Here is a 20,859-nt window from a genome sequence, read left to right on the forward strand (position 1 = left end):
GATTTGCTGATAGGAAACAACATCCCAGATAAAGTTTTTTCCCCTTAATTATGAAATATAACAAAGGAAATTGTGTAGACTTATGCTTCAGGCCTCTGTAACATTTGAATGAATTTTGCACTTGTGAAGGTGACATCATTTTACAAAATCAGTTAATACTAAAGAATGACAAGTGGAATTTACAAAACATATATTCACAAAAAGAACTTGTTCTTAGCAGCTTTGTTTACAATAGTCCCCAAACTGGAAAAGGTTCATATGCATCAAGAGGTGAATGGACCTATTGTGATATATTCATCCAACGGAGTACTACCCTCAATAAGATGGGACAAATTATGGAAACATGAGATAGCATGGGCCAATCTCAAAAACCTCATGCTGAGTGATGAAAAGAGTGCATTCTATGTGGTGCCATCAAGGTGAATTTCTAGAACAGGTGAAACTAACCTGTATAGTGGCAGAAAATACATCATTAATTGCTGGGGTCAGGGAGTCGAGGGGACTGACTGCAAAGGGCACAAGAGGACCTTCTGGAGTAGTAGACATGTCATCAAACTTGAAATGGATGCATTGTACCATATTCAACCAATGCCTTAATCAATTTGATTGTAAAAAGTAGTAAGAAAACCACTGCAGGCTGGACGCGGTGGCTCACGCCTGTAATCCTAGCACTTTGGGAGGCTGAGGCAGGCGGATGGGAGGCGGAGGTCGCAGTGAGACGAGATCGAGCCACTGCACTTCAGCCTGGGCAACAGAGCCAAAAAAAAAAAAAAAAAAAAAAAAAACCTCCGTCTCAAAAAAAATAAAAAAAAAACACAGCAAATCATAATGCATTCTACTTAATTTAATGAATGTTTAGCTTTAGAGGATTCCTTTAGAAAAGCGTCTCTCTAAATGTGATTGAGAGTTCAGGAATTCCTTCATTTCTGTTTCTGCCTCTTTGTCTTCAGTTAAATTCATGCACTATTAAATGGAATATTTGTAAAATAAAAATAGAGTCTAAGTTCAATTTTACAAAAGCATATATATATATATGTGTGTATATATAATATATAGCTCCCATATATATGTGTGTGTATATATAGAGAGAGCTTTATTTATTGCGGGGGGGACAGTCTAGCTAAAATATACATTCTTCTCTCTGTAGATATACCAGAAGAACATGACTCGATCAGTGTTGCCCTAATGTTAACAAAAGTTATTTTGAACTTAAGGTGATCAGAAATTTTACCTATCTGTACTTTTTCTGTATTGGTGGTATGGTCTATGCTAAGCGTGTATAATTAAAAAAAAAGAGAGTAACTTCAAAATGATTTGGAAGAAAAAATATGTACATATGTGAATAGTACTTAATTCCAGGTGATGGGAATATGGATGACTGGTTATCTTCTTCTTTCTGTATCTTTTATATTTTTAAATGGAAAAACTCAACGACCTGGAAGTGAAAGAACAGATTTGGAAGAGGTGTGGGGCAGGTGAGAGGAAAATGCAGAGTGAAACTCTGTCTCAAAAAAAAAAAAAAGTTACTTGTAATAAAACTCACCAATTTTAAATCTACGATGTAACCATTTAAGGAGGTTTGTAGAATTGTGCAGCCATCAGCAGAGTCACGTTTTAGAATATTTTTGTCATTTCCCCAAATACCCTAAAGCCTCTGCACAGTCATTTCCTAATCTCTGGTGCCCATGACTGGGCCCCAACAAAATAAAAATTTGGAAATCCGACATCATTAAATTTCAAATTTTCTTAGATTGGGATTTTTTGTAGTGAATCATTGTCTTACTTTTGTGACATTTGAGGAAATATTGCATTTTAGGGACTTTTTTGATGAACTTAATAATAGTCCTGTTCATTGCTCTTCGTGAATTGTTTCATTTTTGCTGATAACTGATAGTTGCTACCAAACCTGGTCTGGCAAGCCTAAATGAATGAGCTAAAAAAGAAAAAAATCTGCTATAAGAAATAGAGATAGATGATGAATTTGCACATAAGATTATGTGGAGTTAGTATTGTACCATCTTTATTCTTTCAGAAATTTGGTTGGTAACATTAGAGATACTCCTCACATGCTTGGAATGCCTCTCATTATCTTCTTCAGGTTGCAAGGGCTCCAGAATAGTGACATAAAGGTGAACGTGAGTGCAAGATTTTTGCTGTAGTTCTTTGCTCTTTAATTTTTTTCTCTTAGAGGGATTAGCTTCCATGTATCTGAAATAATAAATCAAGAGTAGAGATAGGCATCTGTACTAGTTTTCTATTGCTGCCTATTAACACATGCAACAAACTAGTGGATTGAAACCACAGAAGTCTGGAACAGAGGCTGGGTTCTCTGATAAGGGTTTTAGGAAGCTGAATCCAGGTGTGTCTGGCTATGTAATTATGTGGAGCTCAGGCTACTTCTCCAAGTTCACTTCAGGTGTAGGAGGAATTCATTTTGTGGGAGTTGAAAGACTGGGTTTTCTTTTTCTGTGCTGGCTGTCCCAATAACAGCTCATGGAGTCCTTCTCAAGCTCCCATTCTTCCTGACGTTACCTTCTTCTGACAGCTAGAGAAACCACTGGCATGTATGCAGTGGTGTGATTAGATCCAGTTTACACAGGTAACCTCACCATCTTAAAGTCGTATAACTGGCTTATAACAACATAATCACCAGAATGATGTCTCAGCACCTTAACAGGCTTTAGAGACAAGGGTGTGGCATGTTTGGGGACCATTTCAGAAATTCCATCTACCGCAGTTGGACACTCACATTCCCCCATCTGCAAAATACATTCACCCTCTCCCCTAAGGTTTCCAAATTTCATGTCATTAAAGCGTTAGTTCAAAGTGAAAAATGGTATGTAGACCACACCAGATCAAAAATTTAAAATCTTATCTTAATCATCCACACCAAGTATGAATGAGGCTTCTGAGGGTGTCCTTGACATAATTCCCTTCCCTCTATCAACCTGTGAAACTGAACAAACAGCTTATCTGCCCTCAGTGTGCAATGGTGGGACAGACATAGAAAAACGATTCTTTTTTTTTTAAATTTTTTTATTATACTTTAAGTTTTAGGGTACATGTGCACAATGTGCAGGTTAGCTACATATGTATACATGTGCCATGCTGGTGTGCTGCACCCATTAACTCATCATTTAGCATTAGGTGTATCTCCTAATGCTATCCCTCCCCCCTCCTAGAAAAACAATTCTAGTGATTCTTGTTCACAAACGGGGAAAGTGGAAGTAACAAAGAAGTCACTGATCCAAAACCTTTTTGAAATGGGGCTGAGCAAAGTCCAGCAGGAATTGCGTGGTTAGGATCCACAACCTGGAACTAACCTTCTGTGACATGGGGCTTTGCCTCTGGAGTCTGCATTTCTTTCTATCTTTATGGCAATCATTTTATTTTCCTTCCTCTCCTACTCCCTTGGTTCTTCCCCTTTCTCCTTATGGCAGCATCCTCCCCTTAATCCTTGGCACATCATCCCCAGCAGAATTGGTCAAATGTTGCCCACGTCACGGTCCTGACCATCTCCATGAGGGGCTGTCCTTGTGACCCCCTGCTCCCCTGGGACCCTCTTCACTGACCTGACCTCTCTGTCATGATTGCTTTCAGCTGAGCTGGCTGGTTTAGGAGAAAACCTAGAATTGTGGAGACCCAGAACCAATCTCTGCCCTCTCTTATCTCCAAGAGAGGAAGAAAATAATAGGTATCACCATGGAGAAATGACCCACATGAGGGCTGAGGCTCTCCAGCAGTTAGAGCAGAGGAAACTCCCTGAAGAAGGGAGGAGCTGAGATCCCAGGCTGGGAGAGCAGGCTTGTGTTAAGCATTACTTAATCTTTATGTGCTCCCTGCCTGAATCTACCAGCCAGCGAATGACAACTGACTGAGTATAAATACTAGGACTACAGAACCGTGATAAAAGGTTTGTCCAAGGAAAAGCCCTTTTACTTTATTTGTTTTCACAGTGGAAATTGCTGTTTTTGATCCAAAGTTTTCTGAAACGCAGCAGTGAGTTCCTGGTGGGTGAGTTAGGTGCTTTGGACCTGGAGGCTGAGGCCAAGGCTTTTGTGGTCGATCTGCTGCCACCATGTGGTGAGGGAGCCTGGGAGAGTCTTAGTCTTTCTTGGCTTCACTTTCCTCCTCAGTGAGGTAGGGGCTTATTGTTCCTCTCTGAGGTCCCTTCCTACTGTGTTTTCTCTGAGTCTCTGAGGAACTGAGATGGTTTTTATTTATTTATTTTTTTCCTTCCCTTTCCCTCCTTCTTTCGTGTGCCCAGCTGCCAATCAAGCCACCCACCTTTCCATTTGCGGGGGAAGGGGGCGGTACCCAACCCCCTCTATTACTAGGGGGTTGTTATGGTAACTCCCCACGCGAGGGCTGGGTGGCCTCTAGATAGGACGGGCTGTCCACCCACCCAATTGCTATGGCAACAGTGGAGCCGCTGAGGGAGGGGCCACTCCGTGAGAACTTGGCTGGAGAAACCACGTGGGAGTTGGGGGGCAGAGGAGGGGCACCGGCTGCCTCAGGAATGCCCTTTCCACCCTCACCTAGCAGGTTGGGGAAGCATCGAGGTGCTCTCAGATCTCAGGATAAGGAATCCTACCGCAGACGTGTATCTCTGCACCTCTTTTAACGAAGTGTTCTGCACAAAGGAACTGTTTCCACAATTATTCATTGATCACTGGAGTCGCGCGTGGAGGAAGGGGTGGCGAAGGGGAAGAGAGGGAATCTGCGTTCAGTCCCTTAAAATATTGCTTGCGTCGCCTTAGATCTAGTCATGTTGGCATAGCGCCTACAGCCATTAGCCTCAGTGGAGGCTGGGTAATGCTATCTAAGAACCACGAGTCATGTTCTACCACTGAAATGCTGTGTGACCTTGAGCAAGTTGCTTTGCTTCTCTGAGGTTTTCTTTCACTGTGAAATTGAGGGGGGAGGCTGTATGATCCTCAAGAGCTCTTCTAGCACCAACACTGCCTCTGAAAGACTCCACCACCAGCCTTAATATAAACATCATTTAAGAGAGTTTTAGAAGTCCTTGAAAAATAGCTGAACACATTCCTTTCTGGACCCTTTTTAGCATTTGGGTGCACAGCCAGTCGGCCCCCTTCCCTAACCCCTAGCCCATTTTCCTTGCCACTGCCCTTATTCAAGCCGCTATCCCCATTCATCTCCTATTTGGCCTTCCGGCCTGACTCCTTCAAGTCAATTCTTTTTTTTTTTTTTTTTTTTTTTTTGAGACAGAGTCTCACTCCGTCGCCCAGGCTGGAGTGCAGTGGCGCGATCTTAGCTCACTGCAAGCTCCGCTTTCTGGGTTCACGCCATTCTCCTGCCTCAGCCTCCCGAGCAGCTGGGACTACAGGCGCCCACCACCTCGCCCGGCTAATTTTTTGTATTTTTAGTGGAGACGGGGTTTCACCGTGTTAGCCAGGATGGTCTCGATCTCATGACCTCGTGATCCGCCCGCCTCGGCCTCCCAAAGTGCTGGGATTACAGGCGTCAGCCACTGTGCCCAGCCTCTATTTTTTTTTTTAAAGACAAAGTCTCGCTCTGTCACCCAGGCTGGAGTACAATGGTATGATCTCTGCTCACTGCAACCTCAAGCTTCCGGGCCCAAGCTATCCTCCAGCCTCAGCCTCCCAAGTAGCCAGGACCACAGGCAGTGCATGCCACCACGCCTGGCTGATTCTTATATGTTTTGTAGAGATGGGGCTTTGCCATGTCGCCCAATCTGGTCTCAAACCCCTGGCCCCAAGTGATCTGCCCACCTCGGCCTCCCAAAATGGGGAGATTACAGGATCCCTTGAGGACAGGAGTTGGAGGCCAGCCTGGCCAACATGGTGGGGTTTTTTGTTTGGTTTTTTTTTTTTTTTTTTTTTGAGACAGTTTTAGTTTAGTTTAGTTTTTTTGTGAATTTGTGAATTTGTTTTTATTGGGGAACAGGACACAGGGTGGAAAATGTCACCTTGGTGGAGACAGAGTTTTGTTCTCGTTGCCCAGGCTGGAGTGCAGTGGCACAATCCCGGCCCACCACAACCTCCGCCTCCCGGGTTCAAGCAACTCTCCTATCTCAGCCTCCCGAGTAGCTGGGACTACAGGCGCACGCCACCACGCCCAGCCAATCCTTTGCATTTTCAGTTGAGATGGGGTCTCACCATGTTGGCCAGGCTGGTCTCGAACTCCCGATCTCAGGCGATCCACCTGCATCGGCCTCCCAAAGTGCAGGGATCACAGGCGTGAACCACCACAACCGGCCAAGCCTGGCAGACATGGTGAAACTCTGCTGAGATGGTTTTTAATGCCACCCAGGACCTGCAGCTGAGACCTGACTCTGTGTGTCTCCTGCAGGAGCCTGAGCTGAGTCCACACACTGGAAGCCCAGAACTGAGGGAACAGATGAAAGAAAGAAAGTCAGCAGGTTTAGGGGATGAGAACAACTCACAAAGGACAAGCCATTGGTAAATGAAAACCAAAGAAGGGGGGAATAAGGACAAATTGGGACAGAAGCCTCAGGGGAAATGGGCAATGCCTGTCATCATCCAAACTCTCAAGGAGCAGCGCGAGCTGAGCAGTGGGGACTGAGAGAGAAATTTACTCCACAGGAGTCTCCTGCCCCTGGCCAGGGAGAGCCACAGGCTGGATGACATCTGGTTTATAGTGAGGGGCAGCAGCAACTCCAAGAGGGGGAAGATGTGACCATGAGCCCCGCCCCAGACCCAGGAGGCTTGACCTTGGGGCTGCCGTAGCAGTGGATGCTCTTCAGGTCAGTGTGGGTTAGAGGGAATAACCATGCTGGGAGAAGGGTTGGAGACATCCATTCTTATGTTAAAAAGCTCTGCCCTAGGTCAGGTGCTAGAGTAAGTGTCCCTTGCTAGTATACAAAGCAGTGATACTTATAATATTCTTCTGTACTTACAGTTGAAGGAGGTTTCCAAATGATATCTCATAAATATTTATTGGTGTTTAATTTTCTTTACGCTGTGTTAAACACTTGGGATTCAGATATTAATGTCTCCCCAAAGGAACTCAAGCCCATGAGAGAAAGAACAGAAATATAGCTTTTTAAGAAAATATGAAAGTTCCCCCACATTGGGGTGCTGTGGCAACCCATAGAGTGGGAGTTTAGGTGAAGACATTGCTCCTAATGACAGGGGGAACCATAAGAGGACTTCTTCAGAACAGACTCATTTTCCTCCAATGTCCCACAGAGAGGGATCCTGGGGCATGAATGGTGTAAGGCAAGGGCCAGTCTAAGGAAAGGGATTTGCTGCATCCTGGGAGAAATCTCAGCATCCCTGACAGGATATTTGGGACAGGAATGCAGGTGAGAGGAGGTTTGCAATCGCTTTTATTCAATAATTGATGAACACTCTCCTGAGAACTCCCTCAGTGCTAGACCCTGAGCTGGGAACCATGAACACAGAGATTAGCAAGATATGATCTCAGCTTTGACAGAACTCTCAGTCTAGTGACCAGCGATTCCTGAGAAGTATGGTGATGGTGGGTTCACTGGAACCAGTGGCCCATGCTGCATGGAGATGACCTCAGTGGATGGCCTGGTCTCTCTTCTGTTTTTTTCAAATAGCTGAATGACCTATCCTGGGCCCGTGACCCTGGACTTCAGCCAGATCAGCATCTCAAGGTACAACCAACATCTTGGCTCCATGATGGGTCAAAACAGTTAACACAGCCAAGGTATTCAAGGTATCAGTAGCTACTGACTATGTCCTGGCCAGCTGTGAAAAGAAAGGGGTGAATTTAACAAGTATTCTAAAATTGTCCTTGACATAGTAATCACAGATTATCTATCTTCTGTCTGGTAATATATATATATATATATATGTTTTTGTTGTTGTTGTTGTTTTGTTTTTTTGTGACGGAGTTTCGCTCTTTTTACCCAGGCTGGAGTTCAATGGCATGATCTCGGCTCACTGCAACCTCTGCCTCCGGGTTCAAGCGATTCTCCTGCCTCAGCCTCCTGAGTAGCTGGGATTACAGGTGTGCGCCACCACGCCCCGCTAATTTCCTATATTTTTAGTAGAGACGGGTTTTCACCATGTCGGCCAGGCTGGTTTCGAACTCCTGACTTCAGGTGATCCACCCACCTCGGCCTCCCAAAGTGCTGGGATTACAGGCGTGAGCCACCACTCCCAGCCTCTGTCTGGTAATTTAAATGCTTTGGAGACTCCAAGATTCACCCATGTCCAAAATAAATTCTATATCAGTCATAGTACTAGCATTTAGAAGTTGTGTGTTTTATCCTCTAATTATAGATGAAATACCTAAGGTGGAAAGGAGTAAAGCAGCTTCCATGAATGTAGTGAGAATGTAGGGGGGTTAGGGACTAAAGTCCTGCCTTAGGATTCCCCAGCAGTTGCCAGTCACAATTTTTGTACTCTTAGAAACAACAACAACAACAACAAAATGACAACCTGTTTTGTTCCTCTGCTTACCCTATCCAATTCTCTACACCATAACATCTCTGCTTATCAAGACAACTTGGATTCTCAATTTGTTGAGCTCAACAAATGCATCTCTTGAGCCCCTGTGGGTAAAGCATTATGCTAGTTACGGCGGGTGATACAGAGGAAGCACAGAAGAGTCCTTAGTGACAAGAGCTTAAGATTTCTGCTCTCAGCTCAGCCTGAGTTGCCTGCAGGTGAGAAAATCAGTAGCCGACACCCACAGGTGCATTCTGGTGAAAGGGTCGATGATAATGAGTAGTGGTTCTGACAGGGCTGGGCTCTTAACCTCCCAAAGATGCTGGTCAAACAGGATCTGGAGGATCTCTGCACATAGTGTCTGACTACTGACTGTCATAAGTGAATGTCGCCAAGTCTTGGCCTGGATCCCCTCCCTTTGTTTCATTTCACAGATTATATGTTGACAGCAGGAAAATCAACAGAAAGACCATGAGGCTAGACTCCAAAAGACTTAGTAATGCTGCTGGGTGGGCCATGAATTTTTAAAAACACATGAAGGGCCTTCTCAGAAGTGAAGTTTTAGGAAATATAAAATGCATAGCTGGGATACATTATAGTGTACTGATAGAACAAATATTGGATATAGCAGCATCTAATAACTTCTGGAGGAAAAAATATTTTTCACATTACTCCAATTATGGCCTTATATGACAAAAAAGAAAAAAAAATCCCTAAGAGAACCACTAACATCCACTGGTTTTGTAGAAACAGGATACCCTTAGTGCACTTAAAGTTGGAAAAATGGCTCTGCCTTTAGGGCCATGCAATGAAACAGACTGTGTGGTAGTTGACACAGGAAGAGCAGAGCAGAGTTTATAACAATGGCCACAAGACAGTTAAGAAAATGCTTTGGGGCTTTTAAGCAGCAGATAAGGTGACTCAGAGGAATGTTAGACAATCGCAGAAAAGCAACTTCAGCAAAGTTTTTGATTCAGTGGGCACTGCATACTTAGTCCATGCTCTGCATCTGTTCTTTCACAGTCTGTCCCTTCATCGACTTGGGCCTACAATGACTTTTCTGGGAGGGGAGAGGGATCAACACAACAGCATGCACACACCTGAAATAAAGAATGAATTTCTGATTTTCAGATTTTAGTCTCTGACATAACCAAAGAAGTGACTACCATAGATGTTAACTTTTTTTTTTATTATTATACTTTAAGTTTTAGGGTACATGTGCACAACGTGCAGGTTTGTTACATATGTATACCTGTGCCATGTTGGTGCGCTGCACCCATTAACTCATCATTTAACATTAGGTATATTTCCTAATGCTATCCCTCCCCCACCCCCCCAGATGTTAACTATTAATAACATAAATGATGCTCACAAATATGCAGATCTTATAATAACGAGGTAAAATAGCTTAAAAAATAGATGGTAGAACTGTAGTCCAGGGACACTAATAGAAGTGACCCATAACATTACATCATCTCCACTTCCAACAAAAATCAGGCAAAAGAAGGAAGGAGACTGGCAACCCAATGCACAGAACTATATATAACAGGCATACTAGTTATTGGTTGGTTATAAACCAGTGGGAATAAATCTTTTTTATATACTGACTCTTGGTTTATGTCACTGAGGCACAGCATGGAACAATAGAAAACCGGACTGTAAGATAAATTCATTTGAGTAACTGGACTTTTGTAAACCATTAGACAGACATTTGAGAAACCAAATTTAAAGCTGTTTGTGAGCCATGTTAGCCTATCAAGGTTGAAATTCAGGAGAGATACATAACGAAAAATAAATGCTTTTTTTTTTTGTGACACTGTGATCTGATGCATTGGGAATGTGATCTTGTGAATCACTCAGGTGAGCAAGCCTGACATGAGTGGGCATAAAGGTCAGTAACTGAAGAGGTACCAAAATGTGCTACATGTGTCAATTGTGACCTAAAGAACTGAAGGCATTCACCCTCCCTTGAAGTAATGAAGCTGACACAGCAGGGGGCTGCAAATTCCACTGCAGATCAGGGTCTTGAAGCTGACATACTGAAGAGTGGACTCCCACTTGAGATACAGAGTAGGAACTACTGTTTCCTACGGCTACTGAATATCCCACAAACTAACCTCCTCAGCATGCCATTATTAATTATTTTAAAGCTCTTAAAGGTCTCATTTTATAATAGATCACATCAGAAGGAAGATTAATAAGGATCAGGTACAAACTCATACTTGCTGGACATATCATTGCATATCATCCCAAAGTTTTTGGCACTACATAATGTTGGAATAGATTCTTGAATATTAAATTTTAAACTAAGGGAGAACATTGGCTTCTAAATTTTACAACTATAGTATTGCAGCTAAACACAAGTGCAGATGGGCAGCCTTATAACTGCATGAGTAATCTTAAGGAAAACTTATTGGTGAACATACAGAACATTTCACATGCATTTGTCTACAAAGGACAAACTCTTCCCAACCTCAGAACTTGATATGCGTTAGGACATTCCTCTCCCTTGGGCTGGTGATAAAGCTCCAATTGAAATGAGAAAGACTCTTCATACCTGGTAAATACGCAAGTTTCCAAAGATATTGCCACTGGCCGATCAAACCTGAATCCAAAAAGCATTTGTTTCTAGCAGGATATAAGATCAATATGCAAAAATAAATTGTGTTTATGCAATTGCACGGCAGAATTTAAATGTAAAAGGAATACCATTTACAATAATGTCAAGTGTATAAAATCCATAAATGTGAATATGACTGAAAATTAGAGCATATTTCACGGAGAACATAGTGCAGGCCTAATAACTGGAAAGATATTGTTTGCTCATGTGTAAGAATATTGTTGAGATGTTCATTTCCCCTAATTTGATCTATGAATTCAATGCAATCCGACTCAAAATTTCAGCATGCATCGTTGGTAGAAAATGGCAGCTGATTCTAAAATTAACATGAACTAGCATAACCAAAATGCCTGTATAACGAAGTGCAAAATTGGAGGGCTAGCTCCACCTGATTTAAAGAACAATCACAGAGTTGTAATGGCCACAACAGAGCTTTGGTATGTGATCAATTAAATGGATCAAAAGAAAATAGAGTCCAAATATAAATGAACACATATATTGAGAACAGATTTTTGACAATCTTGAAAAAGCAATGTATTTAAAAATGCATAATATTTCAACAAACGATTGAAGATTTTCTTTTTAAGCAATGGATGTGACATATTTGTAACCATATAAAAATAAACAAGTAGAAAAAACTGAATTCATGTGTCATATCATATATTAAAATTAGTGGTTACAAGAGGCTGGGAAGGAGATAGGGGAGAAGGAAGAAAAGATATTGGTTAATGCATATAAAATATAGTTAAATAGAAGGAATAAGTTCTAGTATTTGATAGTATATTAGGGAGACTATAACTCAAAATAACTTCTTGTATATTTTAAAATAACTAGAAGAGAGGAATTGGGATATTCCTAACATAAAGAAAAGATAAAGTTTTGAGGTGACAGATATACTACTTACACTGATTCGATCATTATAAATTGTATATGTTTATCAAAATATCATGTGTATCCCCAAAATGTGTGCAACAATTATACATCAATTAAAATAATGAAGAGTACATCTTAGACAAATTAACAATGATTCCAATCCCATCGAGTATCTTTTCTGACCACAATGGTATGAAACTAAAAATTAACTACATAAGGAAAACTGGAAAATTAAAAAATACGTGGAAATTAAACAACTTGCCTTTGAACAACTGATTGATCAAAGAACAAATCAAAAGGGAAATTTGAAAATATATTGAGGCCAACAAAAGTGAAAACAAACATAACAAAATCTTTGGAAACAGCAAAAACAGCTCTTAAGAGTCAAGTTTATAACCATAAATGCATACATTAAAAAATTAGAAAGACTTCAAATAAACATTACACCTCAAGAAACCAGGAAAAAAACAACAAAATAAATCCAAAGTTCACTGAAAAAAGGAAACAAAAATCAATGCAGAAGTAAATCAACTGAAGAACAGAAATACTACAGAAAAATAATAAAAGTGAGTTGTTGGTTTTTGTTTTGTTTTGTTTTTTTCCTTTTCCTTTCTCTTTCTTTTTCTCTTTTTAGGAGAGACAACGTCTTACTATTCTTTCCAGGCTGATTGGGAACTACTGGCCTCCAGTGGTGATGCAACGTAGGCCTCTCGCACCCGAGTTGTTTTTCTGGAAAAAGTAAAATTAACAAACACTTGGCAAACTAACTAAGAAAAAAATAGAGAAGACTCAAATAAATAACATCCGAAATGAAAGTGGAGGCATTACAACAGAAGCCTCACAAGTAAAAAGGATCATAAGAAACTATTATTAGGCCGGGCGCGGTGGCTCCTACGCCTGCAATCCCAGCACTTTGGGAGGCCGAGGCGGGCGGATCACGAGGTCACGAGATCGAGACCATCCTGGCTAACACGGTGAAACCCCGTCTCTACTAAAAATACAAAAAAATTAGCCGGGCGTGGTGGCGGGTGCCTGCTACCCAGCTAGCTACCCAGTAGCGTGTAGTCCCAGCTACTCGGGAGGCTGAGGCAGGAGAATGACATGAACCCGGGAGGCGGAGCTTGCAGTGAGCCGAGATCGTGCCACTGCACTCCAGCCTGGGCGACAGAGCGAGACTCCGTCTCAAAAAAAAAAAAAAAAAAAAAGAAAAAAGAAACTGTTATTAACAGCTCTATACCAACAAATTGGATAACCTAGAGTAAATGGATAAATTCTTAGAAACACACAACCTACCAGGATTGAATCAAGAAGAAACCGAAAGCCTGAACGACCAATAACAAATAAAAGGACTGAAGAACCTCCCAACAAAGAGAAGCCCAGGACCAAATGGCCTCACAGCTCAACTCTTCCAAACATTCAAAAAAGAACCGGGCGCGGTGGCTCACGCTTGTAATCCCAGCACTTCGGGAGTCCAAGGTGGGCAGATTACCTGAGGTCAGGAGTTGGAGACCACCCTGATCAACATAGTAAAACCCTGTCTCTACTAAAAAAATACAAAAATTAACCGGGGGTGGCGGTGCGTCCGTGTAATCCCAGCTACTTGGGAGGCTGAGGCAGGAGAATCGCGTTGCAGTGAGCCGAGATGGCGCCACTGCACTCCAGCCTGGGAGACGGAGCGAGAGTCTGTCTCGGGGAAAAAAAAAAAAAAAAAGAAAGAAAAAAAAGAAAACGAAAACCACTGCAAATCATAATGCATTTTGTCCACTTTCTGAGAATGTGATTTCCTCTTCCTGTGGAAACAGCAATAATTTTTATGAGGGGGTGCTGCCCGGACCCCACTGGAGGAGTGGGTAAGATGAGGATTGTGCTCGGTGTTGCCTCCCTACAGAACCACACATACTGATCTGTAATACCTGTGGCCCCTAAGTGTCCGTGAAGGGACTGGTCCCTTTACAACATTGCGTATGGCTGCGGAAACCCACTATGTGGCAACAAGATGTATATGTGTGGGTTGGTGGTAAAACCATTATAGGCAACGGAAATTCAAAATGTTCCAGAACTCTTAAAAGTTCGCCTCATGTAGTATTTGGTTTCTTGCAGGGGGCCCCAAGCCCCGGGGGCTGTGGTCAGCTACCTGTCCTGGGCCTGTTAGGCACCAGGCCGCACAGCAGGATATGAGTGGCCCGCAAGCGAGCATTCCAGCCTGAGCCCCGCCTCCTGTCAGATCAGCGGTGGCATTAGATTCTCATAGAAGCACAAACCCTATTGTGAACTGTGCATGAACGGGATCTAGGTTGCGCGCTCCTTACGAGAATCTAATTAATGCCTGATGATCTGAGGTAGAACAGTTTCATTCCGAAATGATCCTTCCCTCTTTTCACGTCCCCCACCCCTGGTCCAAGGAAAAATTGTCTTCCACGAAACCAGTCCCCGAGGCAAAAAAGTTTGGAGACTGCTGGTCTACAGTGTCCCAAAACCCTTTTCTATGGTTCCTTCCCAAAGCCTGGAGGCTCTAAGTCCTCCCCTGTTCTTATACTCCTGTGTGTTGAGAAAAATAGCATTTCCTATGCTCTGAAGGTTCTCCAGAACATTCTTTCTAGGCTGCAGGATGGAGATTAATAATAACAGAATATTTGGCATGGCCTTGTTAGCCAATCCAAAGCCCTCTGGGCTGAAGTGGGGGTTTTTCACTTCAGGGTCATCCAGCCTGGGTACCTTCCATCTCAGCATCCCCAGGCACAGACAGGAAGGTGACATCACCCCATTTACATGATGTCTGTCTTTGTGGCCTGGGCCACTGGGTGGCTTACCTCAGAGGCGGAGATGTCAGAGATGGGTGTTCTGGGCATGATTAACAAAGGGAAAACTGAGAGCATTCCTACTGAAGCCCCTTCTCCTTTCAGCTCCCACTCAGGTGGCCTGTCCTCACGGGCCTTGGAGTGGAGACTTGAGCCACCACCTGTCAGAGGTGGAGACTTCACAGGCACAGCTGGAGCCAAGAACCCTGGTGCCCAATTGTCTGTGACTGCAACTGGATCAAGGGTTTGACTGTGGCTATCGCTTAGCCAGGCGGGATGTTTCCTCCACCACCTGCAGCTTCACAACCAACGGTGATCCTGGGAACCAATGGCCCTTCCAAGGTAGGGAAGGAAAGGGGACCAGGAAGCTCTAATCCGGGTGTCCTGGTCATGGTGCTGTGAGGGGAGGAGGCAATGGGGTCTCTTCGTGCTCCCTCAGAGTCAAGCAGAAATCCACAATGTTCCAACCCAGTGAGGTGAGCAAGAGCCTGGGGTTTAGGATCAAATCTGCTCTCAGGTCCTGGGCTTAACCCTTACTCATTATTCATCTCGGCCAAGTTATTTGTGGTGTTGGCATTTACATCTCAGTCCTGTCATCTGAGAGACCTGAAAAATAATATCTACATTCCATCATTGTTGATAACATTAATTATGATAATTTCCAAAGGGCTAATTCAGTAAAAATTGCTTAATAAATCTATGAATAGATGTTATCTAATTCTGTTATCTTTCTGGTAAGTTAGCACTCAGGAAATGACTTCACGTGCATTGTTTCAACTGAGGAAGAGTAACTGTTAGGATCTCTACTTTCTAGAGACTCCCTTCCTGTGTTTACTTAGAAAGTATCTTTTGCCAGTTTTCTTTCTCTTCCTCAGCATCCCTTTTTAAGTCAATTTCCCCCGGTCATGCACTTCAGTAACAACCTATTAGGCACATTAGTAAAAGTGCAAATCCTGGGCCCACAAGTCAGTCTCCTGACATACCCAGCTTCTTGCTCTGTTTTCTCCCCTCGTTTTGAAATAAAAGAATGAAAGGGCAACCTTCTCATGGAAAGGGTATAAATCTGTCTCTTTTATGAAACTCCATTTAGTTCATCATCTCCATTCATGCCCACGGCCATGTCCTCAGTTTTCTTCTCACAGGGATCCACTTCTGCCCAGATTTCCTTAAAACCCTGGGTTGTGTTCATCCTTACTCTCCGTCCCACTCAATATCTACTCCTGGAGCCCCTGGGGCTGCCTGGTGCTCATCTGTCAATCGATGCCCCCAGCCGAGGAATAAGGAGACCCACGTCCTCAGGAGGAGGGAGGGTCATGTGAGATAACGAGCACCATCTGGGTCCATGGAGAGGACACATGGAAAACGCTCAGTGAGTGTCGGGGGATGCGTAGTCCCTGACACGTGCCCTGATAACTTTGAGAATTTAAACTGATTTCTTCCCACTGGTGTCTCTTTTGCTTCTCCATGGATTCCTGCACCCCTAGTCAGGACTCACCCCGCTGGCTCCAACACTCTTACCTGCTGGCTTTCCCAGGAGTCCGGATCACTAACCAGGTTCCAGGCAAGAGGACAGAGTGAATGCCTTTTGTTTCATTGTCCTTTACCTGGTGACTTCTCCTTGCTGTCTAATAGGGCATTTGTTTCTCACCATGTCTTCTCTCTCTCGTTCATCTTATTTTTCTAAAATTTTTTCCAGTTTCAGTGGACCAGATTATAATGTTAGTGATTATAACGCTAATTCAACATCTTCCACATCCTTATGTAACAATTTCTTCCAATAGATTTATATATATAAATATATGCATTTATGTCATTGGATATATATATTATGCATATTTGGCATGTATTTTTAATAAAATGTAGATATATGCTATATACATATCTGCATGCTCATTTCATCAATATCTCATGTTTAGTCTATCCAATTCTTTTCTCTCATATGTTCATTTAATGTTGAGTTTTAGAATCTCCTCCCTCCCAAAACACAGCCTGTATCCAGTCTGACTTCCTTGCCTTTGCCTTATCTACCTGGAAAATATTTGTGTTTATTGATCCTAAATTTTTTGAATATGTTTGTCAGTTGGGATCACCTTTTCCTCCTGGCAATCTTGTCATTACTGGGTGATGCATGAAAAATCAACAATACAGAAAATACCAAAATGTCTTTCCTGGCTTCCCTTTACCCATTGGACTTTCTTATTCAAGGCCGCTTTCCTTCTCTGATGATCCTCTTGGGTGGAAGAGAAAGTCACAGTAAGATCATGGATGACAGTGAACACTGTGGGTGTGGTTTCATTTTCAGAGCTGGGTTTGGAGCCTTCCCTTGAATGAAGAACCCTCCCCAGCTGGAAGGTGATGCTATTGAAGGCTCAGCTGACAACATACATGGGCATCAAGTCATTGGCCACATTCATGCCTCAAGTGTCCTAAAACCGAAGATGATCAAAAGAAAACTGCTGTTCAGCAAGTGGAGACTGGCATGCAGATTCCCTGGCCTGCAAGCTTAGAGCAGGAAGGTAATCACATCTATGGCTCTTAGCTGCACTCACTCCTTATTCCTCTCTGTCTATGATGACAGCTCCTTCTCCCACTGCTTTTTTCTTCTGTATTTGTTCTCTCCAGCAGCTGCTGTCACCTCTGTCTGGTATTACCTCTGTGTCCCATGGGCTGCCATGCTGCCAGGTCCTTCTGATCCCCATCCCCTGTTTGCTCTCTGAACTCTGCTCTGTTCCAACCGCTGTTGTCCTAAGAGTCCCTCTCATGGCTGCAGGAGAGCCCAACTTCCTTGTGCCCCTCCAAGTGCATGGTGTGAGCTGCTAAACACAGGGTTCTTTGCCTGGAATTGCACAGCTTGAGTAATTTGCCTTTCCTTTCTGCATCCCAAACTCCATTGCCCCTTTCTGCCAGGAGCATTGCTTTAATACGTCATTTACACATAGATTTTTCTCTTGGGACAGCTTTTGAGCAACACAACTAAGTCAAACTGTAACCCTCACCTTGTACATGGGAATGAGAAGTGTTAAAACTGAGCACTAAGAACTCCAAATCAAAAACTAAATTAGAACCTGGGTCACAGAAGAGAGTTCCCTACTAGCCTGGAGTCAGGTGTGTCTTCATCTCTAGATGGGCAACCTTATGCCAGCGTGGATGAAGTTTCCAGGGACTGTGTCTGCTCCTCATGGACTCACTTAGCTGACATTAACTGGAGAACATTTATGACATTCCAAAGGGACCTCAGCCAAAGAAAGATGCAGAGGGCAGGGCAGGACTTTGAACCTGCGTAGACCACAAAGTGCATTCTCACCTCTGTCCTTTTTATTCACATATTTACTTCTACAAGCTCAGTTAGAGTCTAAAACACAACTCAGGTGAATCTTGAGGACAGAGAAATAAGAGAGCATTTAATGAATTAACTTTGAGAAAAGTGAGTCCAGGGGCCAGCTTTATGTCTACACAAGATGATAGACAAGAACCTATCTACAGGACAGACTTTGCCTCAGACCAGCCCAAGTGAGAGATTTAATTGAAATAGTCAGAAGAAAGACTAAAATCCACAGAGCCACAGAGAATGAAGGCAATCACGAGAGAAATGAGGATAGGAAAGAAAATGATAGGAAATCAGGTTGGTTCATTCATTGTCTCTAAATCCTGCTACCATGTAATAAGCACCTGATGAAATTTCAATAAAGATGAATGCCTTGAACTGACATCTTGAGATTCTCACTTAAATGGTCTGGGGTGTGATGTGAGCATCAGTACCTTTAAAAAACTTCCATGATATTCTAATATACAACTGAAGATGACAAGGACCACTGGTCTACTCTGACCTCAGGTTTTCAACATGGAGATGACCACTTGTGTGGCTACTCCACACAAAAGGCGGAATATCCATCAGACATTGATGGGATCTGTATTCACCTCTCAACAGTAGTATTTGTAGAACATAGAAAAAAATTAAAAAGAAAAACAAGAAAATAGATGGATTAGACCTGTAGTCTCTCTACTTAAAGCACACTTGCTTAATTTTGAGTACAAGTAAAATAAGAAATAGTCATTGTATTGAAACCCAGTATACAGAAAACAATACCTCGTATATTACACATATTCAGATTTAGTATTTTCTTTTAAATTTTATTTTATTGTATTTTATTTTTAAGACAGAGTCTCGCTCTGTCACCCAGGCTGGAATGCAGTGGCGCAGTCTCGGCTCACTGCAACCTCTGTCTTGTGGCTTCAACAATTCTCATGCCTCAGCCTTCTGGGTAGCTGGGATTACAGGTGCCTGCCACCACACTTGGCTAATTTTTGTATTTTTTAGTAGAGGCATGGTTTCACCATGTTGGCGAGGCTGGTCTCGAACTTCTGGCCTCAAGTGATCCATCCACCTCTGCCTCCCAAAGAGCTGGGATTTAGGCATGAGCCATCATGCCCAGCCTTCTTTTCAATTTTAAAATAAATCCTGCAGTTTACATTTCCACACACTGATTCCACAGCCCATTAATGGGTTCGGCACTGCAATGTAAAAATTCTGCTTTGCTCAATTCTTGTCATTCAGCCAAATCCTCAGAGAGAACTCGTAGGTCTCACTCCACTAGACAGAATATAATAATAAGTAAAAACTGAAACTTGGCCGGGCATGGTGGCTCATGCTTCTAATTCCAACACTTTGGGAGGCTGAGGAGGGTGGATCACCTGAGGTCAGGAGTTCGAGACCAGCCTGACCAACATGGCGAAACCCTGTCTCTACTAAAAATACAAAAATTAGCCACGCATGATGGCACGTGCCTATAATCCCAGCTACTCGGGAGGCTGAGGCAGGAGAATCACTTGAACCCGGAAGGCAGAGGTTGCAGTGAGCTGAGATCACACCACTACACTCCAGCCTGGGTGACAGAGTGAGACTCCATCTCAAAAAAAAAAAAAAAAAAAAAAGAAATAATAATAATAAAAAAACTGAAACTCAGGAAGAGATGATATATGAATACTTTTTTATGCTACCCTTGATGCTGGCATGAAATTCTAAAAAGAAATCTTTCCCAACAAACCACTCTGGGAAAAATGTAACAGGGAGAGGAGAATGTAATAAAACACAAACTAATCCTTTTCACTTTCTACTTCAGAGTTTTGTTGATCAGATATTGAGCATGTTTCTAGAAATGCCTTAAGGTGTAACCAGGTGTGGAATCAACTTCAGGGAATTAGGGATAATAAGTTGGGCCATGGTTACAATCACCACCCTTCCTTTGTAATTCCATTTGACTCTTTCCTTTTCTTCTGATCCTTTTTGGAAGAACACATAATATTTCTTTTGTCTTTTTCTCATTTTTTATTTAACCAACAAAACAAGCAGCAGTGACATCATATTTCTTTGTAAAAGCTCATTCCTATCCTAGCCAAGGTGACCCAGCAACCTCTAGTGACTGTCGAGAACTCCAGATTGGAGAATTGACTCTCCCTTCTCTCTAACTTATTGAAAGAGACTTCGTGCGTGGGTTCTAGTTTCAGGGTTGTCCACTGCAAGTCATGTGGCTTTAGTTAAGTCAGCCCTGTGGCATCACTGCTCCTCTGTTGTAAAAGGCAGAACTGGATGTGGATGCGGTCTGAGGTCCTTCCTGTATCTCACCTCAAGGGTTCTTCCCATGGCCCTGCGTACCCTTCCCTAAGAGACGGGGACATGGAGTTGTAAGGGAGTGGGTTTCTCTGCAAAAGGTCCTTTCCTTCTGCAGCCTTCTGTTTCTGAGCTTTCATGGTTGATGCTGAGAACATCCTCACTGAGGGGTGTGAAAAGCCATTACTCTGCTCCAGACACTGGGGATCAGGAGGAAAGGGGCTGCTGGTTGGGCAGAGCTAGGGTCCCTATATCCTTCACCTCAAGCTGACTGGAAGTTCAGGGGTGTTTATTTTTCACTTGCGGATGGCACTTGCCTCTTCACTCAGCCTGAGGCTCACCCTTCAGCTCATCCTCCTAGCAGGAGCTCAGTTTGCCCCTGGGCTATCACCACTTAACAGTCCCTCTAGACTCAGCCATCAGCAGGACCTGACAAAGATGCCCATTTGATCTTTCCTTCTCTCTCTCCTACAGATACTAAATGCTGCTGGAACAATGAAAAGAAAGAACGGATGTCACAAAAAGCATTTT

General features: G+C 43.0%; 1 long non-coding RNA gene across 2 annotated transcripts; it reads left to right on the forward strand.

The window, feature by feature from the left end:
- Window positions 1-3,835: 3,835 nt before the first annotated feature.
- LOC105371233 (uncharacterized) lies at window positions 3,836-7,914 on the forward strand. 2 transcript variants are annotated; one of them, XR_922082.3, is made up of 5 exons: window positions 3,836-3,913; window positions 6,337-6,446; window positions 6,591-6,751; window positions 7,574-7,630; window positions 7,890-7,914. It is a non-coding gene; the product is annotated as an uncharacterized LOC105371233 (long non-coding RNA). The 2 variants fall into 2 exon arrangements; XR_922083.3 differs by lacking the exon at window positions 6,337-6,446 and having other exon boundaries at window positions 3,840-3,913.
- The last annotated feature ends 12,945 nt before the right edge of the window (window positions 7,915-20,859 follow it).

The sequence above is a fragment of the Homo sapiens genome, chromosome 1 (genome assembly GCF_000001405.40).
Source record: "Homo sapiens chromosome 1, GRCh38.p14 Primary Assembly".
Classification (NCBI taxonomy): Eukaryota; Metazoa; Chordata; class Mammalia; order Primates; family Hominidae; genus Homo; species Homo sapiens.